Source organism: Homo sapiens, chromosome 3 (genome assembly GCF_000001405.40).
Source record: "Homo sapiens chromosome 3, GRCh38.p14 Primary Assembly".
NCBI classification, from domain to species: domain Eukaryota; kingdom Metazoa; phylum Chordata; class Mammalia; order Primates; family Hominidae; genus Homo; species Homo sapiens.
Window position 1 is genome coordinate 75,904,843 of NC_000003.12, and position 12,642 is coordinate 75,917,484.

The 12,642-nt window shown below is 35.9% G+C and overlaps 1 protein-coding gene across 9 annotated transcripts in view, besides 2 other annotated features; it reads left to right on the forward strand.

Annotated features, from left to right (window-relative positions):
* Positions 1,561-2,091: an enhancer, noted in NCBI's record as "H3K27ac-H3K4me1 hESC enhancer chr3:75955554-75956084 (GRCh37/hg19 assembly coordinates)". NCBI's record gives its function as "activates a minimal SCP1, AML or CMV promoter by ChIP-STARR-seq in primed H9 embryonic stem cells {active_cell/tissue: H9 hESC(primed)}" and the evidence as "EXISTENCE:reporter gene assay evidence [ECO:0000049][PMID:30033119]".
* Positions 1,833-12,642, forward strand: part of ROBO2 (roundabout guidance receptor 2) — a 1,743,290-nt gene continuing 1,732,480 nt past the window's right edge. For all 9 annotated transcript variants that reach the window (NM_001378191.1, NM_001378195.1, NM_001378196.1 and 6 more), the window contains exon 1: positions 1,833-2,118. The gene's annotated coding sequence lies outside the window, so the exon portion shown is untranslated. The remainder of the gene's footprint in view (positions 2,119-12,642) is intronic.
* Positions 2,092-2,620: an enhancer, noted in NCBI's record as "H3K27ac-H3K4me1 hESC enhancer chr3:75956085-75956613 (GRCh37/hg19 assembly coordinates)". NCBI's record gives its function as "activates a minimal SCP1, AML or CMV promoter by ChIP-STARR-seq in primed H9 embryonic stem cells {active_cell/tissue: H9 hESC(primed)}" and the evidence as "EXISTENCE:reporter gene assay evidence [ECO:0000049][PMID:30033119]".

Genomic DNA, 12,642 nt, shown 5'->3' on the forward strand with positions numbered 1-12,642 from the left:
CAGTGCTGATTGGTAGAATTCATAAGTGACCAGAACTATAAAAATTTTGAGGATAAGCACTAGAAACACAGAATAAATAGAGTGTTAACACGCAAAACACAGAAATCCTTACATTGGCGAGGTGAATAAAAAAGATTTCTGGTTACATGTACACTGATTATTGAGGGATGAGTATGACATTATTATGCCAGAATCAATAAATATTTTTAATAGGGAGAAAACTATAATTATATAACTTTGTGTTCAATAGAAGTAGTAGTATTTATAAAGTAGAAGTTTGTTATACCTTGTTCATAGCCTTTTAAAGTTGTTTATAAATAAAATCTACTCTTAATTAGTTAATGATTGATATTAATTTAAGTGTTTTAAAATTTTTGACCTCTGAATTGCCTTGTACATATGGAGAAATAAAGCTTGCCTAGAATAATTTCTTGAGTGGAGAATGAATGATCTGGATAGATTTATTGACAATAAATATATCTGTACTTATTTTATTAATTAATCTTCATGAAGAGAAATATAAAAGTCATATTCTAGTAGTTGATACCATGGGAAAAAATTCTTATCCTTTTCCTAAGGAAAAATACATCATGACACAAAAGTAAAGTTAATTAAATTACTTACTTTATTAATTGTCTATAATTTCTATGGGTTGAAGTAAATTTGATACTCAATGCTATTTAATCTAATTCTAAAAGCTTGAATGAGTAATGATTTTTTCATGTAAGGTTAGTTGAAATAAATTATCATTGATTTTCAAATTTAATATTAATTAGCTATTGCATATTCTTAATGGGAAACAAGTGTTTACAAGGCCTTCTTTGGTTGCAAAAAGACCATGCCCATTGTAGACTTCTTAGAATACATCACATCTGGCCTCTTTTTTAGAGTGGGGAATTCAACTCATATGTGGCTGGACATTGATTCTGAACATTTTGAACATTATTTGTCTGTCTAAACTCATACTGGTTGCTGTTCTTTTATAAGTAATCACCATGTTTAGCATGAACTTGAGCTATTGTTACTTAGGGTGCTTGACTATTTACAAGTCTCACTAGGATTCTAGGAATTCATTCGTCTTGTGGTGTGTATTTGCCGATAGTCCTATTATCTTTGTTGGTTCAATTACACAGTACCATCCAAGATGCTGCAACACATTATACACAGGGTATGGGTTGTGAGAGCTACAGATTTCAGTTATTATTCAGGCTCAGAAACTTAGAATCTCTGCGAGCTGGAACATGTTACTTAGTCTTGTTTTAAGACCGTCTTGTTTTAAAAGTCAGTCTCAAATTCTTAAAATATAGAATAGGGATGCTAGTAGTGCTCACAGAATTGTAGTAAAGATTAGCTGGGGAAAAAAGAGACTATTAAACAGAGCCTGGTATTCAATAAGTATCAGTTGCCTTCGATTAGCAATCTGTGTTGTCATGATTAGAAGATTGCTGGTTTATGTTACAGACCTGAAAGTATGGTCAAAATATGTCAAAATAACAACCAGACAGAATCATATACCATTCCTTGAACATTTCATCCCTAGAATCTAGCCAAATTAGCATCTCTATACAGACAATACTGTTAACACAGATATGTGCTCAAACCCCTCATTTACTTTTCAGCACTTGTAAATTACTGGAGATATTTAGGAAGGAGTCTGGGGTTATGGCTTAGTTAAGCTGAGTGGCTAGAAAGTGTGAGATGCTGGATGCCTCCTCCAGTTCCTGTCTCCAGTGGCCGCACAAGGCATATCCACAGCTCTGCTCCTGCGAACTCGTTTCTGGCGTGGGGCTTGTGCGCACCCCAGACCGGGAGGAGCCTCGAGCCTGCTCATTAGTAGCACGGGCAGCTCGCGCGCTGGAGGAGGGAGGCGGAAGGACAGCGCTGCGCCACCACCCGGAGGAGGGAGCGCGGTAGCTGCAGGCAGGGGAGGGAGAGGAAAGAAAAGGAAGGACGGCTCCCAGACAGAGAGTGGGAGAAACCGGGGAGCAGCGGGAGCAGCAGGTCCGGGGGGAGCTGTTCCGCTGCGCTGCCCTCGTTATTCACACGGACGCTGCGGAGCTTCCCAGGGCTGCTTCCCTGTCCCCCTGGGTGGAGGCTGCCGTCTAAACCTGACTCCAGGTGAGTTCGGCAAAGAGGTGAACCGAGGGGTCTCGAACCAGAGACGTGGCATTGGCGAGGCTGCTCAGCTCCCCCAAGCGCTGCTGCCTTTATATTTCCCAAATTCACGGAAGGTCTTGGCGGTGGCTGCACAGGCTGGGAGGGGGCGGAGGGTCGGTGGGTGGTTGCGATCCTCACGGCCAGCGTGGGGGCATTCGGATGGAATTAGCTTAAGTGAATGGGGTTTTAGGAAATGTCCCCAAAGGCACGCGTTATATATGTGTTTCTAGACAAGCTTTTAAGACGGAAATTTGGTTTCCCGGATGCCCTTTTTGGCCTTCTGTCCTTCCTTTTGCTTGCCTCATGCCCAATTTTCCAAGCCAAGGAAAGGTTTGGGAAGGCGTGGAAGCAGAAGGTCTGGGCACAGAATGTGACGGGGCAACCTTGGTCTCTAAGTTTGGGGGTGGGGGTTGGGACTCTTCCTTTCCACCTAATTTACCAGGGGAAAACCCTCAGAGTAACTTCAGGTTCCTTTGCTCTGCACCCTCCATAAGCTTATTAAAGGGAACTTCAGGCTCTCTAGACAGCCTGTGAGATGTGACGGCAATATAGCTTAAAAGCCATGTTGGTTCACTTCATCTCCTCTTTATCCTTTGTTGCAAATTTGATACCTTTTTGGATTTCTTTAACAGCACAAAATTTAAGTGGCCGACTGACAGGAAATATTTCTTTTGAAAATGCTATGAGAAAAGTGATGAGTTAACACTGAGAGAAAGGCAACTTTATTTTCTTCGAAGAACTTTGGGGAAAGGGATTGATAGAGAAATTCTGGGCGTGAAATTATGGACATTTCCCACAGAACTTCCTTCACTTATTTATTTTTACATTTGCTTCATTTTTTTTAATCGTGTGCGTGTGTGTGTGTGTGTGTGTGTGTGTGTGTATCAGAGAGACAAAATTCCTTGGAGGTATTATGACTTTATTTGGTTTAGAAGTTTCTTTCTTACTAATAGCACTAATTTGTGATCATCATGATTGTAAGAATTTACTAACTGTTTTGCTTTTAGGTGTTTTGGGTCTGTTTTTTTAAAAAAATTCAATACTTACTTTGTGGGCCTTGCTGAATACCTGTCAATAAAATCGGTGGGCATACAGTTAGTCACATGACACACTGTGGATTTAATAGCAGGTAAGTATACAAACGATAAGTTTAGGAAATAAATGTCAGAATCAAAATTCAGGTGTGAAATTGAAATATCTTTCAAATATTTACCAAATTCTCTTTTAGGATCCAATGTCATTTTATGGTCAAGAGAGCTTAAAGGTTTCTCAGATTAAGATATATGTATCTACTTTGTTAATCAAAGTATGTAATATTTTATTTTGTTCTTTCTTTAATGACTGAGTTCAACAAATAAAACTTGCATATTTAATGTAAGGTTCTTTCACATATATTACTTCTCCAATTTTTAATATAAATTTAAGGAGAAAAGTGATATTCCATTTTGTAGATGTAGAGACTGTGTCACAGAAGTATTACTTTATCTAGATTTCTGTAATTATTATGTTATAAACTTAGAAATTACATATTATTATGGAACATATAAAATATATGAATGTTATAAACCATAAGAATTCAGACCTATGCTATTTAACTTCAAGTTTAGTTCTTTACCCAAACAATTGCACAACTACATTGAGACTACTGAAATAATTATATATGAACATGCTATATGAAAAAAAAGCATTTCTTATTTTTCTGGTTTCTCTTTGATATAAAATATACTATAATTTTGTGGAGTTATTTTCCATATTTAGATGCTCCTAACTTCCAAATAACTCCTAAACTCCTAAAAACTGACCTGTGTCCTTCTTAATAAAAGTGGATTCACAGGGAGACTCAATTTTTACTAAGAATATTCTTGGGATAATTTGTGTCTTATAATCAGGATAAAGACAGGCCACATTTAGCTGTGTTTTTAAACCACTTAGTGTGAACTTGAAATGCAGACAGAACCTGCTTTCAGGCTGAACTGCCAGCTTCGCAGTGAATAGTCTTTCAGATTCCGTGGCAACACTGGCAGATATATCTAATGTATATCTGATGTGGGACTTATGAGAAAAGGAGAGGTAGAAACGGAATGCTCTTATATTTCATATGTGACCACATTCATAAAACTTTATTGATAAGTACTTTGGTGTCTGACACGGGCTGACACAAATAGGCTTCTTCAAGAGTTGAGGAAGAAAACAAAATCCCTATAATACAGCCTTTTTCCTCCTTTTCTTTCTTAAGCGGTAATAGTTGATCCTACATAATCTCTTAAAAAAATAAATTTCAAAGAGAGTTTGTGAGTTTTTTGGAGGGAGGGAGCTTTTGTGTGTCTATGCATGCTCAGTACAGTTTAGGGGTATAAGGAGAAGTTAAACAAGAATATTGAATGCTAGCTATGAAACTTTTTGGAGTCTCAAATGCATTGAAACAATTTTTCATATTATATACATAAAATTGATAGTTACCTTGGGGAACTAAGTATGTTATACACAACTTTGCATCTGATTACAGGATTCCCTGAACATTTATAGCTCAGGTATTCTGGAAGGAGTCAAGATAATTAGTTTTATGGCTCTTGCCCATGTGACCTGTTCCTTTCTGGTCCTGACATTAAAAGGATGACTTAAATTTTCTGGAATGTCAAAATTTTCTCTTCCCTCAGATCCTACAAAATACTTCAAGCAGTGTATGTGTGATACTCACTGTCATTTCAACATTTTCAAGGAAAACAATCCTCTTGAGAATGCTAAACAATGCCCTATATTTCTTCCTTTCTAATTCTTTCAGAAAGAGGGTTAGATGAATTAGGAAGAAAGGAGAGAGGGAGATAAGAGAGATGACATTTTATCCCTCAGGAAAGAGCAAGACCAATTGTATTCCTAATTTAGAAATATTATTCTACAGACATTCCTGAGCAAGAGGGCTTTGCATATACATTAAAGCAGAATACCTAGTCAACTTCTAGTTATGCCATGTAGTGAGATGGAAGTAAGATGAGGAAGCTGAGATCATTTTTGTTGGAGAACTGAGACCACATGAAATAGGTAACAGAGTTACCCCAACTGAGGGGCAAGAGGACTTGGAAGTTTCCTCCGTAAATTTGCAGTTAGTACAGGGCTGCTCCAGTGATCAGAGTCATTAATGCCCTGGAGTTTCTGTATAACCCTGTACACAGGCTGAGACAGCTCTGATGGCCCAGAAAAGCCTTTGGACAGAATCACTGCACCCTTGGACATTGTCCGACCACATGTATGAGAATAGTGAGTGCTGAGGAGTTGTGGGTAGCTTGGTGACAACTCTTGCTAAAGGAGTGTCATCAACATTCATTGCTGAAAGTGAATTTTTTCATTCACATATGTCATGCCTATGAGGTCATGCTTTCTTGGATACAAATTTGTACAAGATATGAATTAATTTTTGAACATCCTTTCTTAAAAGTACCATGTTCATGTAGTTGCTCATTTTAATATGAGTAGTTCAGATGGGACATAATATACTAGGGAGATGATTGAACATCCTAAGTTCTAGTGTATATACCTTTGTTCATTACGAGATTCATCCCCTGTCCCCCTTTGTAGTGACATTGATGGCATAAGGGAGTAGTAGATGAAATTTAATGCAGAAAAACATGGAGATATATGAATGGTAGATATGGTTGACAACCACCATTTTCATTGAAGTTGTTTCAAAGCAAATAAATTTGGTATAAATTCATTTTATTTGCTCCTGAAGGGTAATTAAGAATAGGTAGGAATTGTGAAGAGACTATAGTGTTGACATTAAGAGAAGTTTTTGATTCTTAAAATAGGATATATTACACAAGAGTGAACAAACAGAAGATACTGAACAAATATTCTGTCATAAGTAAGTGATGGATTATTCGGACTTGTTGAACTATGTTTTTAAATGTATTATTTAAACATTTAAATATTATTAAAACCTTAAATAATATTTAAATATTATAAAAGTTATAGAAAATTATGTTTACAATACAAATATACACTTATAAGCTATATTGTAGATATGGGAGTAAACAATGCAATTTTTTTTTTACTGAGTGAAAAATGTAGTTTTTTAAAATTCTAAATGGAGCTAACAGCTTAGTGTGATATATATTTTGAATTTCAAAATTTGCAACCAAATAGGACAAATATGTTGAACTGTACTTTTCTTGAAGAACTGTGATAAGAATGAGCAGTGAAAAAATTACAGCTTCTCAGCGATCAAATACTTGCTTAGGGTTTAATAAGAAAAATCTCAGTGAATGCTGGAAGTGATGTACACGATCTATTACAGACCCATGATTAAAATGGTATCTTGTTAGCTATATGAGCTTGAAAACAAATGGTATAGCTTCTCTTTACCTCAGTTGCTTCTTGTGTAAAATGGGGAGACTAAGAGCATGTAACTCAAAATTCTTTGTTAATGATTTGCTTCTTAGAACAGTGCCAGGTCCAATTAGGATTAGATTGCTATTTTTATTATTGATATTTGCCCTAGTTCTGCCTTTTATTGACTGTATGAAATTGGTGAAGATCCCTTTCTGAAGCCTTGTTTCTTTTTTTTTTTTTTTTTTTTTTTGAGACGGAGTTTCGCTCTGTCGCCCAGGCTGGAGTGCAGTGGCGCGATCTCGACTCACTGCAAGCTCCGCCTCCCGGGTTCACGCCGTTCTCCTGCCTCAGCCTCCCGTGTAGCTGGGACTACAGGCGCACGCCACCATGCCCGGCTAATTTTTGTATTTTTAGTAGAGACGGGGTTTCACCGTGTTAGCCAGGATGGTCTCGATCTCCTGACCTCGTGATCCGCCCGTCTCGGCCTCCCAAAGTGCTGGGATTACAGGCGTGAGCCACCGCGCCCTGCCGAAGCCTTGTTTCTTATCTACAAGCTGGGAATAGAATGCCTGCTATGAAGAGTGGTTGTTAGTACATTAAAAAGGCTGGATATTTGTTTACAAGGGCCTCAGCACATGGTAGAAATTTGATAGTATTTTTTTCTTGTCCTCCCATATATTACTATGGAGATATCCCACATATTATGTCCAAGTTTTTATTTTCCCCTCAAATGCAATGTCAGTCTTGCACAAAACATTCCCATCTCCTAATTCTCTTCTAATGTTCTGTAATCATTAAAGTATAGAAAACTAGAATGAGTATTTTTATAACTTTTGCTGTACTCAAGCATGTGGAGAGAAGAGTGCTAGATCACAGGACAAAGTTTGATGAGAGAAGGGAAATATTTACACCACAAACAACTTTCTCCTCCCCATGCTTAACAGTTTTATGCTGTCATTCTGTCAGCACTGAGTGAGATTTTTTGATTTAAATAGTTTTCTATTTGTGGTATGACAATTCATGTATGGACTTCATGTAATTAACATAAATATAATGGAGGGTTGAGAAGTGGTTTATTTTTACCAAGAGGAAAAATTTGTACACAATTTTTTAAAATACTGCTTTGAGAATCTTTAAAATTAATTTTGATTCAGTTGGTGGAAGATAGCATCACAAACTCACTGCTGGTGGTATTCTTGAGAAGTAATGTTTGAATTTTCTAGGTATTGTCCCCAGACTGGCTTAAAAGAATTTAATTTTAGATGTAAATTTTCTGCTTAACATGGAAGATTTTTCCATGAAAATATTAGCTCCATCAGATACACGGTTGCTTACGTGTAGCTGCGTGGAATTATGGGAAGGGTGAAATAGAAAAAAATTTCATCTCTAAGTTATACATACTGGTATAATCATATTGATTGGATGATAGTGATAATTACAGCAATAATATGATTGAAAGGGTAAGCAAGTAACATATAATACAGTTACTAATATAATCCTGTGATTGAGTTTACCACTTCATTTCTCTTTTCTGGAATCCCTTAAGTTTGTCACTATTGCACTTTATTTCCTTTGCTTATTGTAGTGGTGTATTAGTTGTATTACTGCTGCTATAACAAATTACCACACATTTAAATAACTTAAAATAACACATATTTATTGTCTTACAGTTTCAAAGGTCAGAAGTCCAAAATCACTTTAATTAGGCTAAGTCACTGTGTCTGCAGTGTTGGTTCCTTCTGGAGGTGCTGAGGGGAGAATCCATTCTCTTGCCTTTTTCTGCTTCTGGTGGCACCTGTATTCATTGTCTTTTACCCATTCCTCCATTTTCAAGGTGCATTGCTTTTATTTCTGTTCCTTTCTCCGCATTGTCTCCTCCTTTAACTTTGAGTCCTTCTCTCTACTTCATCTAAGGACTCCTGTGATTACTTTGGACTCACATGGATGACGTGGGATAATCACCTTGTCTCAAGATCCTTAACTTAATCATATCTACAAGTCCCTTTGGCTATGTAAGGCAGCACATTCCCAGGGCCTGGAGATTAGGCCAAGAACATCTTTTGGGACTATTATGCAGCCTATCATAAGTGGTAATAATATTTTTGTGCCTTGAGAACCTGAAATTAATGTGCTTGCTTACGCATGGAAAAATAATGTATCTGTGGGGGTAACAATTTATTTTTGAACCATTAGAAGGTATTGATGGGGAAGTTTTCATCTGACTGATAACAGCTACTGATAAATTAAATACCCTTAGATTTGTCAAATCTAGCTCTAGTAAAATGTAAGTAAAAGTATTTGCACTGCTGGGGTCAAAAATATTAATTAAACTCATTATTTATCAAGGCCAACTCCTGGATTACTTAGGTTTAAATTAACATAGAACGTTATCTTCCATATTGCTTATTTGTGAAGCTTAGTTCTTGTTTACAAAATCTCATCCATATAAGAAAGCACAGAAAGGTTGGTGTTTTTTTAACCTTTGCAGAATATAAATTTTCAAAGGGATGTTAGACAGTAGTTCCATAATAATTGATGCAGTTCACAAACATTCGTTGTGAATATTTTATCTCATGAGTTATATCTATGATACTAATCATAGACTTCTAGAAGAAATTTAATGGTCATGTCAGCCTTTGAAATCTTTCTGTAACCTAGAAGAGGATCATTGCATAAGATAGATTCGTTTTCCCCTTTATTCCATTGTTGCCAGAGAGAACTTGAAATGCCCTGTTCAAATTAATTTAATGCAAATGAATTCTTGCTGCCTCACAAGTAGTTTTTCCTTCATTTTTCTTAAAATTATATTGTAAATGGATGTGACATGCTTTACTGGTTATTGTGCAGGGAGCATTGTCCTTCCTAAAAGCTCCCTCATTTGTCAAAATGAAGCCATTAAGAGTAAAGTAAATTATATTATCTGACCATAGTATCACAATTGACCTTAAAACAATAAATTTTATAATCAGTGCAAATTGCTGAACAGTGTTTACAGTTGTAGAAATTTCAAAGGAAACCCTGGTTGAGATACAAAGCTGCTATAATCATTTTTAAAATCTTTGTTTTTCTTTTACTTTGAAACAGTAGTGCAGTAAGTACTTTTGCCTTATTGCTCTCTGCCTTCCAGAAACCCTCATTCAAATATTCTAAGTTTTTAAGTCTTTTTCATTTCTTTTAATATTGTAACATTTAACAATGTCGAAGAAAGTATAATTTTTCTGGAGATCAAGCTAAAAATAAAGAGAAGTTGATGCAAATGAACATCAAATTAACAAGATTGATTATGAAAAGTAATTTTTGAAAAGGACCCAAAATCCCTTTGCACATAAATGCAAAAGAATTTAGTGAAAGGTGAAATTGGAGTAAAGAACTCTACGGATGCGTAAGTAACTCTTAATGAGAATGAGTAACGTACATGCATATTTTTAGCTCCCAGTTTCAGAGATACAGTAGTTGTACAACAAATGGTCCTTTCCTGCTGTTAAGGAAGCCTCTTCTCCTCCAGCCATGCTATTCCTCAGAGCAAGCACTTCCACCGAGTTTTCAGCAACCATAAGTAAGAAGGATGGTATGATAGGCTGCGTGTACATGTGGCCCTCATTAGCAGGCCAGCTGTTCCTTTTGCCCACCCACATCACTGGGGACATATGGCATTACTTTGACTGTGGAAACAAGTGTGTGTGGACATATCTTGGTATGAGTATAAGACTGTTGATTGTCTTTCTCTTGTCGCTTGTGCAACCAACTGTCTCCTTGTGGAAATCATATTATCCATAACACTAGATTTGAGGATGATAAATGATGTTGTTACTATTTACTGAATTTGCCTCTCTAGTTTGATCACAAAACCAGTGAATGTTTGCTTATGGAACATGTAAAGCTTATAGAAGATAGAAAGCTTACAGAAAGAAATGATGGCTTTTCTAAGCATAAGAGTCAGGTCTTTTTCAATCAAAGACTAACTCATTCAAAAATTCAAGAATTATGTAAAACCAGAACAGCAGAGGGTTCAGAAATGCTATTGAGATCATTTATTATAAAATAGCCGTTAATGAAATGTAATAGTGAGTCTGTTGTTGTTAGTTGTGACTATATGGAGAAATTAATGAGAAAATATAAGATAGGCTGGAATGAAGAGAGTCATCTGATCCCAGCATAATTCATTTTATATAGTTCACAGTATTGTAACTTTAAAAAAATTACTAATTTTTTCAATACTGTGAATTCTGAATTTGCAATATGAGGCTTTTCAATACTTGCAACAAGTGTGTATTTTTCAGTGGTGGCTCTAGAATTACATAGCGGGGCTTTCGAGCTGCATTCTGATAAGAAGGCAAGGCTAGAGGACTCATGTTGAGGTGGCATTTGCATAGGACTTGATTTAGATAACATACATCAATGGTGTAGAGAGAAGAGTGGGTGATGTTGCTGAAGATTATAGGGGAGATAATAAAACTGAAAGGCACCTTTTGCTACCTCTGCTGGCCTATTTGTATATTCAGCTGTGTAGCATATTTCTTGTATAATTACATAGTAATTTCACACACTACATTAAGAAAATCTGAACAATTTTTACTAAACTCACGTTTTCTAAATATTAAGTAAATAAAACCAATATTTGGATAGGTAACACTTATAAAAACAGTATTTCTAGATAGATATAGATGATAATTTTTCATCTTTATCTATAGAGCTGATAAATTTTCAAAACCCTTTGAATATCACTTGTACTACAAAGTCTCATTTCAGTTTCAGTGCCATGGCACATTGATTAATCACCACTAAAGCGGTACATGAAATATTTGGCAATATAGGTATCAAGATATTTGGTAATGGTGATTGATGCACAGAATACAGCACATTATTGTTATGCACTGGCCTTGAGAACTTTAGTTTTCATCTTCGTTCACCTTGGTAGAGAACAAACTAATAGCTTTTTTCTTTCACCTTGCTGGAGAACAAACTAACAACTTCAAGTTATCTGATCCATCAAAAAATTTATTTCCTTGAAACTCACTGATTTATTTATTTATTATTTCGGGGGGATCACTATTATTTGCTGTAGTAAAATATCAAATGATCAATGTATTATACCAACATGGCAGCTCACATGGTAGGCAACAGAATGAAAATAAACAGATTTACTACCAAGAATTATACTATATTGCTTTTATTGACAGAACAAGCATACAGATAATTTTATTCAGAGATTTTATGTGAATTATTTTTGATAAGTGTACACATATATTTATAACTGACCTTTCTTTGTCAAGTGTGTGCCTACACACGTATTCATACTAAATCAATCTTAGAGATCTTACCCAAAGATTGATTTTCTTAAAGCGACTGTTCCAAATATGTATAATTTATGGCAAAAAAAAGTCACAAAATGGCAATATAAAGAGGCATAAAAATGAAGATAAAGGGGGAGATAATGGTTAAAAACACCTGTAAATGAATAATTGATTTTGATTTAAATTCTCTTTAGTTCTTAGCTGATGAATATAAATGAAATTATTATGCAAAACACCTCTATTTGTTGTATATGCATGTACATATATATGTTACAAATACAAAACTGATGGGATATTATTTAACATATATTCACACTCATAATGTACATATATGTACATAATGAAAATGAGTGCATGTTTTCTATATATATATACACACACACATACACATATTGCGTACTTTCATTTTTTAAAATTTTACTGTAAGTTCTGGGATACATGTGCTGAACATGCAGGTTTATTACATAGGTATACATGTACCATGGTAATTTGCTGCACCTATCAACCCGTTATCTAGGTTTTAAGCTCCACACGCATTAGCTATTTGTCCTAATGCTCTCCCTCCTCTTTTCCCCCACCCACCGACAGGCCCCAGTGTGTGATGTTCCCCTCCCTGTGTCCACGTGTTCTCATTGTTCAGCTCCCACTTATGAGTGAGAACACACAGTGTTTGGTTTTCTGTTCCTGTGTTAGTTTGCTGAGGATGATGGTTCCAGCTTCATCCATGTCCCTGCAAAGGACATGAACTCATCGTTTTTTATGGCTGCATAGTATTCCATGGTGAATATATGACACATTTTCTTCATCCGGTCTATCATTGATGGGCATTATGTTGGTTCCAAGTCTTTGCTATTGTAAATAGTGC